Below are 21,634 nucleotides of genomic sequence, written 5' to 3'. Positions count from 1 at the left end.
CAAATGGGCACATTCCCAATCCTAATAAGTGGTGACTTGCCAGATCTGGACTCACGTTGCAGGGTGCTGGGACCTCTGCCAGAATCAAGCAGTAGCTCCAGGAGCCAGGGCTTTGGGTCTCTTCTGTGCATCTTCAGGAGCTTTTATTGACCTTTCTCACCACGACCCCCTTCTCAATTACCAACTTCCAATCCAAAAATGACATCCAACTAGATCCTGAACTTCCATCCAGTTAACCCTGATTGAGTTTTCAACTTTCTTCTTATTAAGTGATTAAATTAGATATAGATTCATAAAAGTGAAAGAATTAATAATAGGGTGAAGGTCTAAAACTCATTTATTCACTTATTCCATAAACACTGGTAAAGTTTGACTAATATGTGACTTTCATAGTGATACAGGGAAGGATTTAAGCTGTTTCTGACATTAGAAAAAAAAATATATATATATGTGGTATCTTTATTAGAGAACCTTTGGCCACATCAAAAGCATCAAAATGTTTTAGAGTTAAAACAACTTTAAGAAGACAGTGATGTCATCCCTGAAAAACACAATAAAAATCTTGGTGTATCCACTTGTCACCTGGGTTTTGTGCTACCTAACATGGTAGATCATATGCCCATTCAGGTGGAAAACAGGAACTACTGAGGGTGTAATTTATCTCAAGGTTAAGGTCAAGGATTCACTGAAAGAAATCAGGCCTAAATTACAAAGTGATGTGGGGGCTGGGCTGGACAGGACTGAGTGTTTTCATGGGACCCTGGGAGGGAAGCTAGACAACATAAAACATGGCAGGTATTTTGTGGGCATTTAGACAAAAGGATTGAAAGACTTCCTTCTAGATTGAGTTTAAAAATTTTAAAAAAACATAATTACAAAAGAGATAATGCAGATCCTTAAAGCATCACAGTGTCTTTGAGGGCAGAGAGAGCAGACACAGTCTTGGCTCCTACTTGAAGGTGAGGCATCATTACTCACAAACGTGTTGGGCTTCCCTCAGAATACCAGCTTGGGAAGAGTGAATCTGAGTGTGTGAGCTGGGGCAGAGCCCAGAGAGGAGCAGTGTGGTCAGACATAAAGAGGGAGACTTTTCGATCTGGAAGCATGAATGGTGGAAGCTGTGTATCTGCAGAATTTGTGAGAGAAATGAACCCCTTGGGGAAATCCTGCACCATCCTCAGGACCCCAGCGAGAATCCTGCAGTTTGGGGGGTCTTTCTACCATGTTCTGGTTGCCTGTGCTTCTGAAGGTGCTCCTCTGCTGTCCAGGTCAGTGCAGCCTTTTGAGTCCATCTGAAGGGATGGCTTAACCTCAGTTCCACTCACTGAATTTCTACTGGGATTCCAAAGCTTCTCCAGGCTTTTCATCGGGGTTCTAAAGTATTTCTGAACTTGAATTTTCCTCCCCCAGCCTGAGCTGTCAGAGAAGCTGAGTCCTCTGCTTCCTGGAAATGTCAGCCAATCTCTCCTGCACCCAGGAGTATGGCCACAAACAATGCTAAGAAACACTCTCCCTGGAATCAGCAGTGACTCATACATTCTCCCCAAATTCTACTGAGCTATTTCAGTGCCCACAGCAAGGCATAAAGCAGGGAGCTCCTCAGCTGCTGCTCTGGACCTAAAGAGGCAACCGGGACCAATGGAGGGGAACCTTGTCTACCTTGCACAGGAAGAGCCGACTCCTCTGGTTCTCCTAGAAGTGCCAGGCTGTTGGCAGAGCCTGGGATGGTCCCAGTGTGGGGGCCATCCCTTCCCAGGCTCTGCTGGCCCAGCCTTAGAGCTGAGGAGGCTGCACCTGGAATGCAGTGAGTCTGTTTCTGAGTCAGCGCTTTTCCTGTGGTGTTTGCCCTCTGTGCATTTCTAACAGTCAAAAATCTCTGGTCAGGCCCTGCTGGCCTCCTCTAGTCCTCAAGGGGGTTTTATTCCAGATTGCATTTATAACTATCTTCCCCAAGACCAGGGGCTTCCCCTCTTTTTTCCTCCAATAAAGATATGAGGAGAAGGTCACTCTGAGAGCAGACAGTGGATGTTGAGGGAGGTGCCTGTAGCAGCCTGGGGTCCAGGAGATCTGCGAACTCACTGCCGCCGGATGGAGCCAGGGGGACTCCAGAAAGGGAGTGGCCCAGAGGAGCTGATGGGGGCCAGAGTAAATGAGGAGGAGAGAGATGGCAGCAGCCCTGGGGACCGGGTTCTCTGGCTTTCACAGAGCCACATCCCTGATAAACTGGGGACTTGGATCTGAGACTCTGAAAGGACTGGGGCCTGGATGTGGGGCTGTGAGTTTCCAAGGCCCTTTGATTTCACCCTGGTCTGCATGAGGTTCCATTGGCTGCCCCACCCAATCCCAGGGGCAGAAAGTCAGTCTAGCAGGGAAACCTGGGGAGAGAGGGTCAGTGGCAAGCATCCACCCTAGATGCAAAGACAAGGGACAGGTCAGAGGGAGGAAGCCTTGGCATGAGTCCAGGGGAAGGGAGGCACTTTGGATAGGCGCAGTTCTGTTTCTGCACTTGCCACAGCCTCAGAGGACTGTGAGGATTGAACTTTGCAGGAGGGAATGAGGGAGAATGGGGTCTGGACTGGAGTCCCTGTCATCCAAGTGACCCCCTATCTACTCCTGCAAACCAGATGAAGGTCTTGCTAGATGTAAGTCAAACCAGGGCCTATCAGGCTAACCAGCACTTTCTGGTGGATCCTGAAGGAGCACAGTGATCCTCGGTCAAAAAAATCTCACATTGTCCAGGGCTGAGGATTGTCAGGTGGTGCTGAAGGGGGAGACTCTGGGGAAAAAACAGAGAAGATTTTGGTACATTTCACACTCTCAACGCCCAGTGCTTCCCCCTTCCTATTAGTCAGGCGTGGTTCCAGGATAATCACTTGAACCCGGGAAGCCGAGGTTGCGGCGAGTTGAGCTAGAGCCATTGCACCCCAGGCTGGGTGGGCAACAGGAGCGAAACTCTACCTCAAGAAACAACAACAACAAGAACAACAACAAGAAAACTTCCACTGAGTGCCTGGGTCGTGCCACCTGGTATTCTGGGTGCTGCTGAGAAAGATGCTGAGAAAGATCCTGGTATTCTGGGTGCTGCTGAAACAAGACACAAGGCAGCTGGAAAATGAGCTCAGCAGAATATACCTGGCTCAGAACTGCAGTGCAGATCAGAAAAAGAATGCCTGTGCAGGATAAAACACGAACAGCCATCTTTTCTTTTCTTTTTCTTTTTTTTTTTTTTTGTTTCTTCTTTTTAAAGACAGGGCCTCACTCTGTTTCTAAGACTGGTGTGCAGTGGTGCAATCTCAGCTCACTGCAGGCTCAGCCTCTCAGGCTGAAGCAATCCTCCCATGTCAGCCTCCCAATTTGCTGGAAACGCAGGTGTGTGCCACCATGCCTGGCTCATTTTGTTTATCTTTTGTAGAGACGAGGTCTCACTGTTGCCCAGGCTGGTCTTGAATGCCTGTACTCAAGTCATCCTCCCAATTTGAGCTCCCAAAGTGCTGAGATTACAGGGGGGAGCCCCATGTCCTGCAAAGCCATCTTCATAATCCATGTGGAAAATGATGGTTATCCCAAATCCTTTCATCACTCTTTGTCAGAACATTCACTACTCTCACTGCCAATTAGAAATGTACAGGAGAATGAAAGAAAAAAGTTAATATTGTCCAGGTGCGGTGGCTCAGCCCATAATCCCAGCACTTGGGAGGCCAAGGAGGGCAGATCACCTGGTGTCAGCAATTCATACCAGCCTAGCCAACATAGTGAAACCCCATCTCCACAAAAGTAGAAAAATTAGGTTGGCATGATGGCAGGTGGCTGTAATCCCAGCTACTCAGGAGGCTGAGGCAGAAGAATCTCTTGAACCAGGGAGCCAGAGGTAGCAGTGAGCCGAGATTTTGCCTTTGCACTCCAGCCTGGGTGACACAGTCAGACTCCATCTTAAAACAAAACAAAAAGAAGTTAATATTTATTAAGTGCACCGTAATTCAAAATACTAAGAATTCAAGTGCTTTATTTCCTTGGAAAAACTCACCAAGAGGCGTTAAAACGGTGATGGCCTTCCCCACAGCACAGCACAGAGGAAGCAGCTGACATCTTCCAGGCCTTGGGGCACTGTCTTGCTTCTTTCTAAGTGGGGATCCGCTCCCAACACACTCTCCTTTGTGCCCCTCAGGCCATGAATATCTCTGAGGTCTGTGAGTGTGAGGTCTCTTGCTGGTGGTGTTCCTTCCTGTTTCTTGGGACTTTCTTTTTTGGTGGGTCTCTTGGCATAAGGAATGCGAGCCTGGTGAGAACAGGCTGGACTCTGCATCAGGACACAGAGGCCCTGGAGGGGCAGACAGTGGAGCAAGCAGGGGCTGAATTTACCTGCTTTTTACTCAAAGGAAGCCCCTCACCACTGTCTTCCCTGCCACAGCGGCTCCAATAAAAAGAAAAAAGGTGTTAACTCAGCACATTCCCTGGAACAGCAAGAAGAAAACATCCCTCTTGGTATTCGTATAAGTATTAGGACTAGTGTTAGCTGGTTTCTCTCTCCTTTTGACATAATAACTCAAGATACCCTGGGGATCTCGAGTGCATGGACCAGCGAGTCTGAAGGAGTTTGTTCTTTGGATATGAACCCATGAGAAGTGGATGTGTATTCTGTGGCCAAAGTCACTGACCTCTTTTATTAGAGGAGACAGAAGTGCCCAGGAACCACCCCCAGACCTGTGCTTCCAGGGACCGCTCTCTCTCTTTCCATGTGCATGCCTGAGACGGTTCTGGGTCTTCACTCATCACCATTTGCTCTTCTAGAGTTGATGCATCTACTGTATACTTGCAGGGGACCCAGTGAAGAAAGAAATCCAAGAACCCACGTGGGTCCACATAGAGTGAGGTTGCCTCCAGACAGGCACAGGAACCCCGAGCCTCTTAGCCACTGCCAGAGCCTGAGACTGGGGCACTCACATGCAGACAAATGCATGGGACTTTAGAAGAAGCAGGGTTGGAGGTAAGAGAGGAGGGCATGGATGGAACGCAGGGGTCACTGGAAGCTTCAGGGCCAGAAGCACTTGGGAGTGGGGAAGGCATCATCAACAGAAAGGTCAGAGCTCCTTCCATGCCCTGAGGTCACAGCGGGTGTCCTTCTCTCCCAGCTCCTCCCTGGGCTCTTGTGTCTGGAGTCAGGGCTGGCTCAGCTGGGGTTCTTTGGTGAGTGGGAAGGACATAGGGCACTCAGGGTCTCAAGTGCAACTTTTAAAATGATACTCAAATGAGAGGTTTCACACAGTGGCCTCCTGTCCACAGATCCCATGTCTTCTTGCTGGACTCCTGGGGGATTTGCCCAGCCAGGGACATGAGGTATTTTACATTTATCTGCCAAGTGCAAAACATCTTAATCTATATGAGGCCAGCTCCATCCTGGAGGGTTGTGACTTTCTAAGTGCTCACACCACATACACATATATGTACATACCATGAAGTCATTGCAGAGATGCCCTCTGGGCCTGGGGTTCTCTCACAGAACCCAGTTGATAAAAGCCTCCCTTCTACTCACCTGAGACCTAGAGACATCAGCCACCCCCTGCCCCATTCGCCCAGCATTTTTCCTAAAGTGGAAACCAACTCAGAACGCACATAAATGAACACAGCCTCTAACTCATGGACTTAGGGGGAACAGACAGAATGAGAAGACCAGGGTTGAAAGTGGCATGTCGTGAAGTGGCACAGGCAGATGAGGCTGGAGAGGTGCAGTCAGAGGCAGGGGTGGCACAGGAGTCATTGGCAGTTTTGGACTGGGGTGGTGAGGCCACCTGAGGCCTGTTTTCCAGTTCCCCATTATGGCCAGGAGGACTTTGATCCCTGAGAGAGGTAACCAGGAGGCAGGGGCAACAATAAGGTGGCCACTGCAATGCCCAGGCAGGAGGTCTTGGCATCACCTGGTGTGGCTGCAGACAGCCTGGGGACATCCTGGAGGTAGAGTCAATGTGACTTGCTCTTATGGTTTCAGGAGTGGGTGTGAGGCCTGAGGAAAAGCGATGGGTTGACAGCACCTCCTAGAGTTTGGTCTTGACTCAGCGAAGTTGGGAAGAGTAAGTGAAAAGCCAGCATGAAGACAACGACTCAAGGTCTTTGTAGGACATTTTAAATTCAAGGCATTTATGTTATTAAGAGAAAAAAACCCAAGAACAATATAACACTCATGAAATAACCCTGTTCAATAAAATTGTAAAGGTGTATACAATTTATTCATTCTTAGGACTCACACGATAGATGTTCCCAGATGCTTCCCATGGACTATATATCCTACTGGTGTAGGTGGGAGTAAGGTGAGAGCCAGGATTCCAATCCCAGCAGTTTTCAAATCCCAGACCTTCAACTAAGGTCAACATCAGATCTGGAAGAGGAAAGAGGTGCAGTTTCTTTTCTAATTCCATCAGGATCATTCTGGGTCTGGCCACAGGGCACACTGCACTGTTCTCCTATCTCAGAGGAGAGGGTAGGATCCCAAAAGCCAAATGTGTCCAGATATGTGTTGGCATAATGTTTTAAAAAATAGAGTTTCAGTTAGAAAGGAGGAGTGAGTTGAATATCTATAGCATAGTAAGGTGACTATAGTTAGTAATAATATATTATATAATTGAAAATACTGAGACAGTAAATTTTAAATGTCTCCCCATAAAAAGAGTAAGAATGTGAAGTGGTAGGAATGCCAAATAGCTTGATTTCACTATTCCACATTGTAGAGTATGAATATATCAAAACATCATACTGTACCCCATGAACAGATACAATTTTTATTAATAAAATTTTTATAAAATAGACGAAAAAAACCTTATGGGCATCACATAGGAATACCAGTGATTGGTCTCAGGAAGACGGAAAACTGCAAAGATAAAATAAGAACTCAGCAAAGGAACACAAGGTAAAACAAAACTCAATATAAGAGCCAGAAAATGGCAAAAGTCCCGGTCAGAGTGACTTGTCCAAGATTCTTCCAAAGAAACCCAAAGAAGGAAGAAAGGGGTGGTAATTTCAAGTCTCTGAAATCCTCTGCTTTCCTGGAATATCTAATGACTATTCTACCTTCTAATTAAAGAAACACCCCTGTCAATATTAGACAGATCAATGAGACAGAAAATTAACAACGATATTCAGGACTTGAACGCAGCTCTGGACCAAACAGACCTAACAGACATCTACAAAACTCTCCACCCCAAATCAACAGAATATACATTTTTCTCAGCACCATATCACACTTATTCTAAAATTGACCACATAATTGGAAGTAAAACACTCCTCAGCAAATGTGAAAGAATGGAAATCATAACAAACAGTATCTCAGACCAAAGTGCAATCAAATTAGTACTCAGGATTAAGAAACTTACTCAAAACTGCACAACTACATGAAAACTGAACAAGCTGATTCTGAATGACAACTGGGCAAATAACAAATTTAAGGCAGAAATAAATAAGTTCTTTGAAAACAATGAGAACAAAGACACAATGTACCAGAATCTCTGGGACACAGCTAAAGCTGTGTTTAGAGGGAAATTTATAGCACTAAATGCCCATAGGAGAAAGGAGGAAAGACCTAAAATTGACATTGCAATTAAAAGAACTAGAGAAGCAAGAGCAAACAAATTCAGAAGCTATCAGAAGACAAGAAATAACTAAGATCAGAGCACAACTGAAAGAGATAGAGACATGAAAAACCCTTCAAAAAATCAATGAATCCAGGAGCTGGTTTTTAGGAAAAGATCAACAAAATAGACCACTAGCCAGATAAATTAAGAAGAAAAGAGAGAAGAATCAAACAGACACAATAAAAAATGGTAAAGGGGATATCACCACTGATCCCAGAGAAATACAAACTACCATCTGAGAATCTATAAACACCTCTATGCAAATAAGTTAGAAAATCTAGAAGAAATGTGTAAATTCCTGGACACATAGATGCTCCCAAGACTAAACCAGGAAGAAGCCAAATGCCTAAAGAGACCAATAACAAATTCTGAAATTGAGGCAATAATTAATAGCCTACCAACAAAACAAAGTCCAGGACCAGAAGAATTCACAGTCAAATTCTACCATTCCTCTGAAACTATTCCAAACAATAGAAAAAGAGGGTCTCCTCCCTAACTCATTTTTATGAGGCCAGCATCATCCTGATACCAAAACCTGGCAGAGACACAACAAAAAAAAGGAAATTTCAGGCCAATATTCCTGATGAACATCGATGCAAAAATCCTCAATAAAATACTGGCAAACCGAATCCAGCAGCACATCAAAAAGCTTATCCACCAAGATCAAGTTGGCTTCATCCCTGGCATGCAAGGCTGGTTCCACTTATGCAAATCAATAAACGTAATCCATCACATAAACAGAACCAATGACAAAAACCACATGATTATTTCAATATGTGCAGAAAAGGCCTTTGATAAAATTCAACACCCTTTCAGGCTAAAAACTCTAGATAAACTAGGTGTTGATGGAATGTATGTAAAAATAATAAGAGCCATTTATGACAAAGCCACAGCCAATATCATACTGAATGGGCAAAAGCTACAAGCATTCCCTTGGAAAACCGGCACACTGCATGGATGCCCTCTCTCACCACTCCTATTCAACATAGTATTGGAAGTTCTGGCCAGGGCAATCAGGCAAGAGAAAGAAATAGAGTATTCAAATAGGAAGAGAGGAAGTCAAATTGTCTCTGTTTGCAGATGACATGATTGTATATTTAGAAAACCCCATCGTCTCAGCCCAAAATCTCCTAAAGCTGATAAGCAACTTCAACAAAGTCTCAGGATACAAAATCAATGTGCAAAAATCACGAGCATTCCTATACATCAACAATAGACAAACAGAGAACCAATCATGAGTGAACTCCCATTCACAATTGCTAAAATAAAATAAAATACATAGGAATACAACTTACAAGGGATGTGAAGAAGAACTACAAACCACTGCTCAATGAAATAAAAGAGGATACAAACAAATGGAAAAACATTCCATGCTCATGGGTAGGAAGAATCAATATTGTGAAAATGGCCATAATGCCCAAAGTAATTTATAGATTCAATGCTATCCCCATCAAGGTATCATTGAGTTTCTTCACAGAATTAGAAAAACTACTTAAAACTTCATATGGAAGCAAAAAAGAACCTGTATACACAACACAATCCTAAGCAAAAAGAACAAAGCTGGAGGCATCATGCTACCTGACTTCAAACTATACGACAAGGCTACAGTAACCAAAACAACATGGTACAGTTATCAAAACAGATATGTAGACCAATGGAACAGAACAGAGGCCTCAGAAATAATGCCACACATCTACAACCATCTGATCCTTGACAAACCTGACAAAAACAACCAATGGGGAAAGGATTCCCTATTTAATAAATGGTGTTGGGAAAACTGGCTAGCCATATGCAGAAAACTGAAACTGAACCCCTTCCTTTCACCTTATACAAAAATTAACTCAAGATGGATTAAAGATTTAAATGTAAGACCTAAAACCATAAAAACCATAGAAGAAAACGTAGGCAATACCATTCAGGACATAGGCATGAGCAAAGACTTCATGGCTAAAACACCAAAAGCAATGGCAACAAAAGCCAAAATTGACAAATGGGATCTAATTAAAATAAAGAGCTTTTGCACAGCAAAAGAAACTGTCATCAGAGTCAACAGGCAACCTATAGAATGGGAGAAAAATTTTGCAATATATCCATCAGAGAAATGACTAATATCCAGAACCTACAAGGAACTTAAACAAATTTACAAGAAAAAAACAAACAACCCTGCCAAAAAGTGGGTGAAGGATACTAACAGGCAATTCTCAAAAATAAAACGTTTATCCGGCCAACAGACATATGAAAAAATGCTCATCATAACTGGTCATTTGATTTGCACTTCTCTAATGCAAATCAAAACAACAGTGAGATACCATCTCAGGCCAGTTAGAATGGTGATCATTAAAAAGTCAGGAAACAACAGATGCTGGAAAGGATGTGGAGAAATAGGAATGCTTTGACACTGTTGGTGGGAGTGTAAATTAGTTCAACCATTGTGGAAGACAGTGTGGCAATTCCTCAAGGATCTAGAACCAGAAATACCATTTGATCCAGCAATCCCTTTACTGGGTATATATCCAAAGGATTATAAATCCTTCTACTATAAAGACACATGCACAAGTATGTTTACTGCAGCACTATTCACAACAGCAAAGACTTGGAACCAACCCAAATGCCCATCAATGATAGACTGGATAAAGCAAATGTGGCACATATACATCATGGAATACTATGCAACCATAAAAAATAAGTTCATTTCCTTTGCAGGGACATGGATGAAGCTAGAAACCATCATTCTCAGCAAACTAACACGGGAACAGTAAACCAAAACACCTCATGTTCTCACTCATAAGTGGGAGTTGAACAATGAGAACTCATGGACACAGATAGGGGAACATCACACATCAGGGCCTCTCAGGGTGTGGAGCACTAGGAGAGGGGTAGCATTAGGAGAAATACCTAATGTAGATGACGGGTTGATGGGTGCAGCAAACCACCATGGCATGTGTATACGTATGTAACAAAACTGCACATTCTGCACATGTATCCCAGAACTTAAAGTGGAAAGAAGAAAGACAGAAAGAAAGAAAGAAAGAGAGAGAGAGAGAGAGAGAGAAAGAAAGAAAGGAAGGAAGGAAGGAAGGAAGGAAGGAAGGAAGGAAGGAAGGAAGGAAGGAAGGAAGGAAGGGAGGGAAAGAAAGAAAGAAAGAAAGAAAGAAAGAAAGAAAGAAAGAAAGAAAGAAAGAAAGAAAGAAAGAAAGAAAGAAAGAAAGAAAGAAAGAAAGAAAGAAAGACAGACAGGACAGGGGAGGGGAGGGGAGGGGAGGGGAAGCAAAGGGAAGGGAAGGGAAGGGAAAAGAAAAGAAATACCCATAAAATAGGAAAGCTGGCTGGTCACAGGAGAAGCATGAAAATATCAAGCAGTGATTTCATACAGCAGCAAGAGAAGAGCTTGTAAAATTAGCTACAAGAATAAGGATAAGCCTTGACCAATAAGACCCAAACAAGCAGGACGGGGCTAAGCTGGCTGACACTGAATTGGTCAGACATGGCACTGGGTTTGACCCTTGCCCTACCCCAGGCCTAATTATACACCCATTATGACAGTAAATCACACACCAGCGCCAGGACGGTTCTGAGAATGCCCATATTTAGTACAAAAACAGGTGAAACCTAGCCAGGCCCAGTGGCTCATACCTGTAATCCCAACACTTTGGGAGCCCAAGGTGGGTGGATCACCTGAGGTCGGGAGTTTGAGACCATCCTGACCAACATGGAGAAATCTCGTCTCTACTAAAAATACAAAATTAGCCGAGTGTGGTGGCAGATGTCTGTAATCCCAGCTACTCCAGAGGCTGAGGCAGGAGAATTGGTTGAACCCAGCAGGCAGAGGTTGCAGTAAGCCAAGATCATTGCACTCCAGCCTGGGCAACAAGAGCGAAACTCCATCTCAAAACATAAATAAATAAATAAATAAATACATAAATAAATAATAGGTGACACTTCAGTTCTAAGAAAACTTCACCATTTTTTCTTAAAATCCTAACGATTATTTCAACCTCTCCTTAGAGATCCTATAAAATTAGAAACCCAAACTCCCTTGTACACAACTCACTCTCCTGAATTGGCCCTCTCTTGAGTATCTACCTTTGCTTTGCAATAGACACTTCTTGCCTTTTGCTTCATTCTGCCTACTTCCTAAACTCTTTCTTGCAGCGATGACAAGAATGTGGACACTGGTTGGTGATTGAGTCTCTGGGTACCTGGAGATGACCTAATCACTATGGCAATAGTCAGAGTCTAAAAATCACACCGGATATTACAATTCACTCTGGTTTTTCTTGGGGGAAAAATCCAGTAACTTTGGCCCCATTTCTCCAAAGGACATCACTCAGCACAAACTGATAAACAGCAGTCCTACCACTGGGTTGTAAGTATATGGCTTTATTTCTGGATTCTCTATTCTGTTCCATTGGTCTATGTCTTGACCTTCATACTGGCACCATGCAGTTTTGCTTACTATTGCCTTACCATATAAATTGAAGTCAGGTAATGTGATGCCTCCACATTTGTTCATTTTGCTTAGGATTGCTTTGGCTCTTTAGCCTCTTTTTTGGCTCCAAATGAATTTTAGGATTCTTTTTGTAATCCTGTGGAAATGATGTTTGTATTTTGGTGTATGCAATTTTTAGATTGATGTTTGATGTTCGCAATTTTTAGATTGCTTTGGGCAGTGTGGTCATTTTCACGATATTGTGTCTGTCAATCCATCAGCATGGGACGTTTTTCTCCTTTTTTGTCATCTATGATTTTTTTCAGCAGTGTCTTGTAGTTCTCCTTGTAGAGATCCTGTACCTAATGGTTAAGTGTATTCCTAGGTTGTTTTTGTTATTGTCAGTTTTTGTTGTTGTTTTGCAACTATTGTAAAGGGATGGAGTTCTTCATTTGATTCTCAGCTTGCTTGTTGTTGGTATAAAAGGGTGTTACTGATTTGTACATACAGATTTTGGACCTGAGACTTAAGTGAATTCATTTATCTCATCTACGAGTCTTTTGGTGGAATATTTCAGGTTTTCTAAGCACATACGATCATATCATTGGCAAACACAGGTAGTTTCACTTCCTTCTTTCCAATTTAAATGTCCTTTATTTCTTTTGCTTACCAGATTGCTCTGACAAAAACTTTCAGTCCTATGTTGATTACAAGTGGATAAAGTGAGCATTTTTGTCTTCTTCTGGTTCTTAGTGGGAATACTTTCAACATTTCTTCATTCAATATGATGTTGCATATGGATTTGTCATTTTTGGCTTCTATTATTTTGATGTATGTTCTTTCTAGGCATAGTTTGTGTAAGTGTAGTCCATTATTTTACAAGCTTAGATTTGTATTCTGTTTTACCTGAGTGCGTTCTGAGATTTGGCATCTATTTTACCTGACATAAGTACAGATGCTCGTGCTGTTTTTTGGTTTCCAGTTGCATGGAATACTTTATTCTACCCCTTCACTTTCCATCTACATGTATCCTTATAGGTGAAGTGAGTTTCTGGAAAACAGCATATAGTAGGGTCTTATTTTTTTACTCATTCAAAGACCCTATGCCTTTCACTTGCAGAAGTGAGATAAATTATATTCATTGTTTTTATTGATAAAGGCTTAGTACTCCCATTTCATTTCTTGTTTTTTTGGTTGTTTAGAGACTTCTCTCTTCCATCCTTTTCTTATTGTCTTTCTTTGTGTTTAAGTAATTTTCTCTTCTGGAATCCTTGGAATGTGACTTTTCTGGCCAGAAACCTCTGTGGCTGGGGGCACCTTTGCCAGAGTTTTGATGGGGATCACTGGGTTCGTTCTGCCCATGCAGCCTAGTAGACTATGCTTGACTCATGTTTTAGGCCTGGAGCACATGCCTATTAAGGGCGGGTCAGGGGTAGAGCAGTGAGGGGTGTGTGAGTGAGCAGGGGGTCTGGCCACTTTGGACAGTCACTGGCTGCTGCTGCAGCAGTGGGGCAGGCAGCTCCAGGTGCCAGCACGGGTGCCAGATTTCGTCAAGGCTGCAAATGAACCAGGCACAGCACAAGCAGCTTCCATGGTTGTCACTGGAATACACAGTGACACCAATACTGAAAGCTTGGAAATGCCAGTAACTGCAGAACCCCCAGAAAGGAGTAACAGCCCTGGCTCAGGAAGCTCCCATGTCTGGGCTCCTGGAAGATTAGTAGCTCTTCTCTTTTTCTCTTCACCTACAACTTGGTGAGCAAGGGCTGTGTTTCAGCTTTGTTTGTGTTATTGCTCTTTTAGTCCCACCATTAGGCGGGTCCCAAGTTCTTGTTCTGTGACCAGGAAGAATGAATTATGCAGACAAGTGGAGGGTGAGTGAGATAAAGAGGAGCTTTACTGAGCAATAGAACAGCTCAGAGACCCACAGTGGGTAACTTCTTTCTGCAGCCAGGGTGTCCTGATGAGTGTTCAGCTCTGAGCAGACAGGAGGCGCTGGAGTGGGTGACCCCTCTCTCCTGGCAGGTTATTCCATCATCACCACTGCTCTCAGTAGAGAGGAGGCCCTGGAGTGGGTTGCTGCTCTCTGCAGGAAAGTCATCTCATCATCTCTACAGCTCTCAGCAGAGAAAAAGACCCAGAGTGGGTTGCTTGTCTCTGCAGGAAAATCATCCCAGTAGTGGGTAGTTCCTCTCTGCCACTGGTCTTCCTGATGTTCTCCCTGAGTCTGGGGTTTTTCCAGCATCAGACTGGAGAAAAGTATGTGCTCATTGGGTCATAGGTGGCCATGAGCAGGCACAGAAAAGGCAACATATGTTCCCATTCTGGTCCGTAGGACTGGTGGCCTAGCCTACGGGCTTCAGGCCCTCCTTGGTCAGAAGGTGGAGCCTCACCAGTGACTCTCACCTTCCTGTCCAAGATTCTGCCTCCCTCCCACCACCAACCATGTTGCCCAAGTCACTTGTACCAAGGAGCATCCAAAGACCAGCGCTGATCTGTCCGCAATCCCCCCTCAGCCCCCCTTCTATACTCATCAGGGCCCAAAGTCCAGAGGGTTCAAGGCAGCCATGGGATGCTGTATATGCACTGACCAAAATGTTCACAGACCCACCTGGGCTGTGACAGCATCCGGGCTCGACCACAACCACACCCCAAAATTAGGGCAGGCGCCATGAGAGACCAGGCAGTGGGAACAGACACCCTGAAGCTGAAGGAGAAGTGGGGATCTCCTGGGCCCTCAAGAGCACTGGGGGACCTCAGTTGGTAACTGTGACCTGGGCAGATTCAGTTGCACCTTTGGAGCTGCTGCCCTGCCAACTCGAGAGGACCAGGACTCCCTCTTGTCCCAGGCTCCCATCAGCTCCGAAGTGTACGCAGCCTTGGCTGTGCCCTCTCTCTGTGTTTCCCCACAGAGAGGACAGGTGAGATGCAGGTTCACAGCAGCTCTGACCAACCCCGCACAAACAAACCCAATGCTCCTGGGTGTGGTTTAACCAGCCCCAACTGTACTATCATCCAGGAGCTTGCAGGCTAACAGCAGGCAGTGGGCAGTGAGGTAGAGGCTGTGGTGGAGACTCCAGACCTGGGTCCAGGTTCCATTTTGCCATGAGAGGGTGTGGGTGGCACAGCTGGCTGCCTCAGGGACATGGAGCACAGGCCTGGCTCATGACCCTGCCAAGAGGGGGGCCTCCAGGAGTGGTTCGTGGTTCCCAGGCCCAGCAATCAGACTCCATGGTCTCCCCTACAGGGGGCAGATCTTGGAAAAACAGCCTGGGGTGGATCCGCATGGAACCTCCCTTCAAGACCCAGGAGCTTGACACTGTTAACAGGATGGGCACAGTGGCCAGATAGCTCAACAGGACCTTGAAGCAGGTGCCACTTGTGCTTCTCACCCTGGCCCCCTGATGGATGGCCCCAGCTCTGTTTTCTGGGCCTGGCATCCACACTTCTTGTGCGAGCGGGGCACCACCCCATTCCTATCTTCTCCTTGGGGCCCCTCTCTGCCTGTCCCTTTGTGCCTGACCGAGCTGCTCCCTGCAGGCAAAAAAAGGAAGAAAAAAACTGATGACTGAAGAGAAGTAAAGAATGGGTGGAGATCATCTGCACACCTGTTTTCCCAGCACTTTGGGAGGCCAAGGTTGGTGGATCACTCGAAGACAGGATCTTGAGACCAGGCTGATCAACATGGAAAAATCCCATCTTTATTAAAAATACAAAAATCACCCAGGCTTGGTGGAATATGCCTGCAGTCCCAGCCATTTGAGTGGTTGAGGCACGAGAATCACTTGAGCCCTGAAGGACAGGATTGCAGTGAGCCCAGATTGCACCATCGCACTCCAGCCTAAATGACAAACTGAGATTTTGTCTCCAAAACAAAACAAAGAACAAGAATGGGTGGGAAATACTCAAAATGATCTAATTTTTATTTGGTTGCTTTGATGTTCTACAACTGAAACTCAATCACAGACAAATTAGTATTTCGTTATTTTTCCATCCGTAACTCGATAACTAGAGATTTCTGATGGATAAATTGCACAACAGGTTAAAAGTTTTCATTCAGGTGCTCTTTATTGCTGATATTCCTTGGTAACCATCCTTGCAGGGATAACAGTCTCATCACTGTAGAACTTTAGCTTCTCTTTCCGACTCTAGGACACGGGTCCCTGAAGTTCTCACTGATGTCACCTCAACATTTTCCTCCAACCTTGCCCCCTGCTGTTATGTTTTTTCCCTCACACTGAACACTTGCCTGTGCTTCCTTTAAGTTGCATGTGGCCTGGACACAGTCACTCATGCCAGTAATCCCAGCACTTTAGGAAGCTGAGGCAGGAGGATCCCATAAGCCCAGCAGTTTGAGACCAGCTGGAGCAACACAGCGAAACCCTGTCTCAAATTGTCTTTAATAAAAATTTTGGAATTATTAAAAAATGAAATAAATAAGAAAAGAGAAAAATAGTTTGCACCCACATAGTAGATTTTAGTGTCCAAGTGCCTGGAAGAGAACTTTGGATTTCTCTACCCCACTGGGCACGCCTTCCCTAGCAGCAAAGATGGAGCTCCAGTTCCTCAGACGGTGATGAGCCACAGGAAGGGCAGGGGGTGGGGCCAATGAAGATCCTCTTGGGCTGCCTGACTTCCCTCAGTGTACACATCAGCTCAGCCCGAAGTGGGGTGAAGATCTCCCAATTGACACGAACCAAGGAATTCAAACTCTCCTCAGGGGCAGGATACGTCTCCAGGCTTAACTTGCTCAGCCCACTGGTGTGGCGCAGCAGGTCCTTCAGGGCGTCAATAGACATGCAATTTCTGCCAAAGTAGAAGGTGGTGAGCTGGGAGCAGCGGCTCAGGCCAGGCAGGATGGCACTGAGTTGGGAGTAGTGGATCTGACAGCCCTCCAAGATGAGGGTTTTGAGAGAGGCAGCAATTTTCTCCAGCAGAGCTCCGAGGGGTTCAAGACTGATGCGGAACAGCAGCACGTAGCTGAGATTCAGATGCTTTAGGTAACCGAGGCTTGGGTACTGGGAGAGACACTTCATGTCTTCTTCCAATAGGTAGCCATAAGTTAATTCCAAGTTCTCCAAGGGGTTCTGGAGGCACCTGTGGAGATCAAGAAGTTAGTTCTGGGCAGTGATACCAGTTAGATGAAGGTAGTGCCTTCATCTAGGAAAATGCCTGCGTCAAACAAACACAAGTTTGTTCCCACCATCTGATGATGGTCCTCATGGAAGTTGCTGCATGATGAGGACCCTGATCGTTCAGGGGCTGTCCCATTTTAGCCTCAGCCCTTTCACCATTGCTTGTGTGATTGGTTCAAGGCCATAAAATCTCTAAAGCCTTTTTTTTTTCATCTTTTAGCAGAAAACTTCATCTCTGGGCCACAGGTACCCGGTGGGAGATGTGAACAAAGAACTCAACTGAGCAAGGTCTAGGGACATCAGCTAGAGCTACATGTCAGCAGGGGCTCCCTGACATGCCTGCATCTGCAAACCAACTGTCACTTTTTACCACTCTCACGCCTACTCCCTCACCTCCATCCCGGAAGCACGCATTTCCCATGTCAATTACCTTTCCTGGAGTTCAAAACAACCTTTTACAAACAGGGAATCAGAGACAGGATCATTCGTGATCACTAAGCCGGTGAGGACAGACGTTCTATTGTGAAATGGACAGGTTTGATGCGCTTTCCCTCCTTTCATACCCTCCTCTATTATCTCTTTGACATCATATCAACTTGAAACACACTTTGTAACAGGAAATTCACACGTGCACCCCCAATAGAGCTGAAACCCCCACTAACTAGCTTGTACATGATGTCCCTCTCTAGCTTCTACCCCAGGTGACGCCTCTCCCCTTATTGGAGCGATCCTGTGATAGCCACTCCAGGACATGGAACACTGAATGGGACAATGTGTTGACATTCTGATGTCCCCTTCACTGTGACGTTGCCACTGGCTGGCACACAGTACATGCATTCTAATGTTTGCTGTTACAGAACAAGGCTATGCTGTGGTCTGCATACAAAGTGCATGATCCTTTCTCACCTGATCAGCTGTTCCAGGTGCCCACTGAAGAAGGTGATCAATTTTATTTTAAGCAACTGAAGGTGTTCCAGCCTGAGGAACACAGAGCTGAATTTGGCAACTAACCGTCCTTCGAGTTCATTATCTGACGTGTAATGATGGCACCTGGAGAAAACGAGTTTGCGAAGATTCTTCATCTCCTTCAGGTAACAACGAAGCTTTCTTATCAGACGTGGCCAGGACATGTTGCGAATTTCCAGCTCTTGAATACTATTCAGGTATATTATTTTCAATGACTTTCTGAGATATTTAATCGGCGTTAGATAATTGACCAGCTTACTACAGCACAGGTGTACTAAACCTCTCCTTTGGTAAACCCACTGGAAGAGGTATCTCAGGCATTCATCCTGGGGTATTTCCTTGAGGCAGATGTCTATGAACACCTTTAAGGGCTGGTGCTCTCCCATCCTTGGACAGTCCTCTGCTGTCTGCCTCTTACTCGTGGTCTCTGGGAAGCAGGACAGGGCCCAGGCTCCAGGCCATCTGGCCCAGAAATTCTCGTCAACATCCCGCAAATCCAGCACTTGAAGTTTCCACCTCCTGTGGGTAAAGTAAGGGAGAGACTCAGAATTTAGAAGGACTCATCCCTGACCTTTGCTTTCATTGTCATCCCATAAATCAGCTGCTCCTGTCCTCAGTGCTCCCTGTTCTCTTTGTCTTTTCTCAATCCCTGTTCCCTTTTGATTCTGACTTTTGATTCCCCACTTCTATTCCCTTTACCTTCCACTGAGTAAAGGCAGGTTTCTGTTCCCACAGTGGACCCTGTATGGTGAGCAGTCCTTTCTCTGAGGATCTGGAAAATGGCCAAAGCCTCCCTGATCTTCCTCGCCAACACCATCAGAAGACTCTGGGCCACACTTGGGCTACTTCTCTGCCTGACCCTGCTGTTCTTTCCCTGGACACCTGAGCCCTATCTACCAGCCCTCCTGGGTCACCTCACCTGGGGCGATCCTTCTGTGTAAGCAGCATATGAAGCCCTTCCAGCAATGCTTTTAAGGTCTCCAAATGAAGCGTCTTCATCAGTGATCCCAGAGGGAGGCAGGTGAAGGGCCAGGCCTGAACCATCACCGTCAGAGTCTGGAAGTGTCTCCTGCTGAAGGCCTCCATGAAGAGTGGGAGATAGAGCACCCTGGGCAGCTCCTCCATGGCAGAGATGGACAAGGCCTGGTCTCTCAGCAGGCTCTGCCCTGCCAGCTCCAGTAGTCTGGGTGGGGCCTGGATGCTCATCCTGATAGATCTGCAAGGAAAATCTCTAGAAGACAAATCCAGGGAAAATGTGTCACTCTCAGGGCAAAGACAATCATCTGCTTCTACTGGTACCAGGAAGAATGTCTTCCAAACACCAAGGAGGGAGGGGTCATGGAGACCACTGACTTATTAATTTTCTTCCATTGCTCCACTGAATCCCAGAACCACCGGACAGTGCCACTGAGGATCCTGAAAGCCAAGCTCTACCTCTTTGAAGAAAAATTTCTTGTCACTTACCACCCTAAAGCAATGAGAATGAGAGTGTCCTGTGGCCCCAGACAGCCTCCATTCTCAGTTTACACCATAAACATGCTGGGGGAACACTAAAGGGACTCCCTAAAATCGATGCCATTATTTTTTATTTTGAAAATTTTCTACCAGAAATGGACCAGGTGCTGTGGCTCATGTCTGTAATCCCAACACTGCTGGACACCAAGGAGGCAGATCACTTGAGGTCCGTAATTTGAGAACAGCCTGGCCTACATAATGAAACCATGTCTCTACTAAATATAAAAAAATTAAGAATCATTTGACTCCAGAAGGCAGAAGTTGCAATGAGCCAAGATCGCACCACTGCTCTCCAGCCTGGGTGACAGACTTGGACTCTGACTCAAACAAAAACAAATTGATAAATAAGTTAATTAAAATGTTAGCCAGGTGTGGTCATGCATGACTGTAATCCTAGCTACTCTGGAGGCAGAGAAAGGAGAATCACTTGAAGCCCAGAGGCAGAGTTTCCAGGGAGCCCAGCTCAGGGCCCTGCACTCCAGTCTGGGTGACACACTCAGAGTACATCACAGAAAAAAACAAAATTCACTGGAACTGTAAAAGTGGTGTGATGGTATTCCACAGCATTTGGAAGGTATGTATAGAAATGCTAACTGTAGCTGGGCGCGGTGGCTCACTCATGTAATCCCAGCACTTTGGGAGTCTGAGGTGGGCAGATCTCCTGAGGTCAGGAGTTTGAGGACAGCATGGCCAACATGGCAAAACCCTGTGTCTACTAAAAATACAAAAATTAGCTGGGCATGGTGGTGAGTGCCTGTAATCCAAGCTACTCAGGAGGCTGAAGCAGGAGAATCGCATGTAACTAGGAGGCAGAAATTTCAGTGAGCCAAATCACACCATGGCACTGCAGCCTGGGCAACAATAGGGAAACTCCATCTGAAAAAAAAAATTAACCAGAAACCGTAAAAGTGCTACCATGCTATTCTAGAGCACTGTAACTCTAAGATGAAGGTTCCTATAGACATCACTTCCACATACTCACAATTACCCACTTTTGGACAGATCCTAGGGGCAAAGATGAATCCCATGATCTGAGCAAAACTGCACTCTTGAGATTGCTGTGTGGGATACCTTTAAGGATTTTATGAAAATGAAAGCATACTTGGAGAATCACAATAACACCAAGTCTATGAACTGTAATTGAAGGGCACAAAAACAAATAACTTCAAATGTCAAGAAATAAAAATTCATGTCACTGTAAATTTTTAATATATTTTTAAAAAACCTGCTTCGATAAGAATTTTAAAATGACAAAAACCAAGCACAAATCACAATTTGATGGATGAAGACAAAACTACATTTAGAGGAAAAATGAAAGCCTAAATCTGTTCATCTCACGAAACAGACAGAAAAATATTGTGTGCCACTTTGGGATGTGTGTCACCGTCCCTGACTGGCTGGCTGCTGATCAGATGGGCATGACCCTAAGCAGGTGGTGACTTACCAGCGCTGGACTCACTTCGCAGAGTTCTGGGACCTCTCAGGAAACCAACCAGTAGCTCCAGGAATGAGTGCTGTGGGTCTCTTCTGGGTACCCTCAGGAGCTTTTATAGACCTTTCTAACCCCACCCTTCCCTTCTCAATCACCAGCTTCCAATCAGAAAGTGATACCTGATTAGATCTTGCAGTCACACCCAGTTAATCCTGATTGAGTTTTCAGCTTTCTTCTGACTAATTGATCGAATTAGATACACATTTATGGAAGTAAAAGAATAAATAATAGGGTGAAAGTCCAAAACTCATTCATTCATTTATTCCTCAAATACTGATGAAGTTTCGCTAATACACGACTTTCATAGTGATACAGGGAAGGGATTAATCTGTTCCTGATATTAGACCAAAAAAAAAAAAACCTTAAGGTGTCCTTATTGGAGGATGTTTGGCCACATCAAAATTGTCAAAATGTTTCAGAGCTACAACAGCCTGAAGAAGATAGTGATGTCATTCCCAAGAAAACAGAATAAAAAGCT

The 21,634-nt window shown here is 45.0% G+C and overlaps 1 protein-coding gene across 2 annotated transcripts, besides 1 other annotated feature; it reads right to left on the bottom strand.

Moving 5' to 3' along the window:
• Positions 13,532 to 14,033: an enhancer, noted in NCBI's record as "H3K4me1 hESC enhancer chr1:12858699-12859200 (GRCh37/hg19 assembly coordinates)". NCBI's record gives its function as "activates a minimal SCP1, AML or CMV promoter by ChIP-STARR-seq in naive H9 embryonic stem cells {active_cell/tissue: H9 hESC(naive)}" and the evidence as "EXISTENCE:reporter gene assay evidence [ECO:0000049][PMID:30033119]".
• PRAMEF1 (PRAME family member 1) lies at positions 15,955 to 21,186 on the bottom strand. Of its 2 annotated transcripts, NM_023013.4 has the most exons (4): positions 21,109 to 21,186; positions 19,069 to 19,380; positions 18,090 to 18,668; positions 15,955 to 17,145 (listed from the first exon to the last, which is right to left on the bottom strand). In NM_023013.4, the coding sequence occupies exons 2-4, from the start codon at positions 19,353 to 19,355 to the stop codon at positions 16,587 to 16,589; spliced, it is 1,425 nt and encodes a 474-aa protein (NP_075389.2). In that variant the 5' UTR covers positions 19,356 to 19,380; positions 21,109 to 21,186; the 3' UTR covers positions 15,955 to 16,586. The 2 variants fall into 2 exon arrangements, with proteins under 2 accessions (NP_075389.2, NP_001281068.1); NM_001294139.1 differs by lacking the exons at positions 18,090 to 18,668; positions 19,069 to 19,380; positions 21,109 to 21,186 and adding an exon at positions 17,614 to 17,892.

This window comes from Homo sapiens, chromosome 1 (genome assembly GCF_000001405.40).
Source record: "Homo sapiens chromosome 1, GRCh38.p14 Primary Assembly".
Classification (NCBI taxonomy): domain Eukaryota; kingdom Metazoa; phylum Chordata; class Mammalia; order Primates; family Hominidae; genus Homo; species Homo sapiens.
This window is presented reverse-complemented; position numbering and strand designations above follow the sequence as displayed.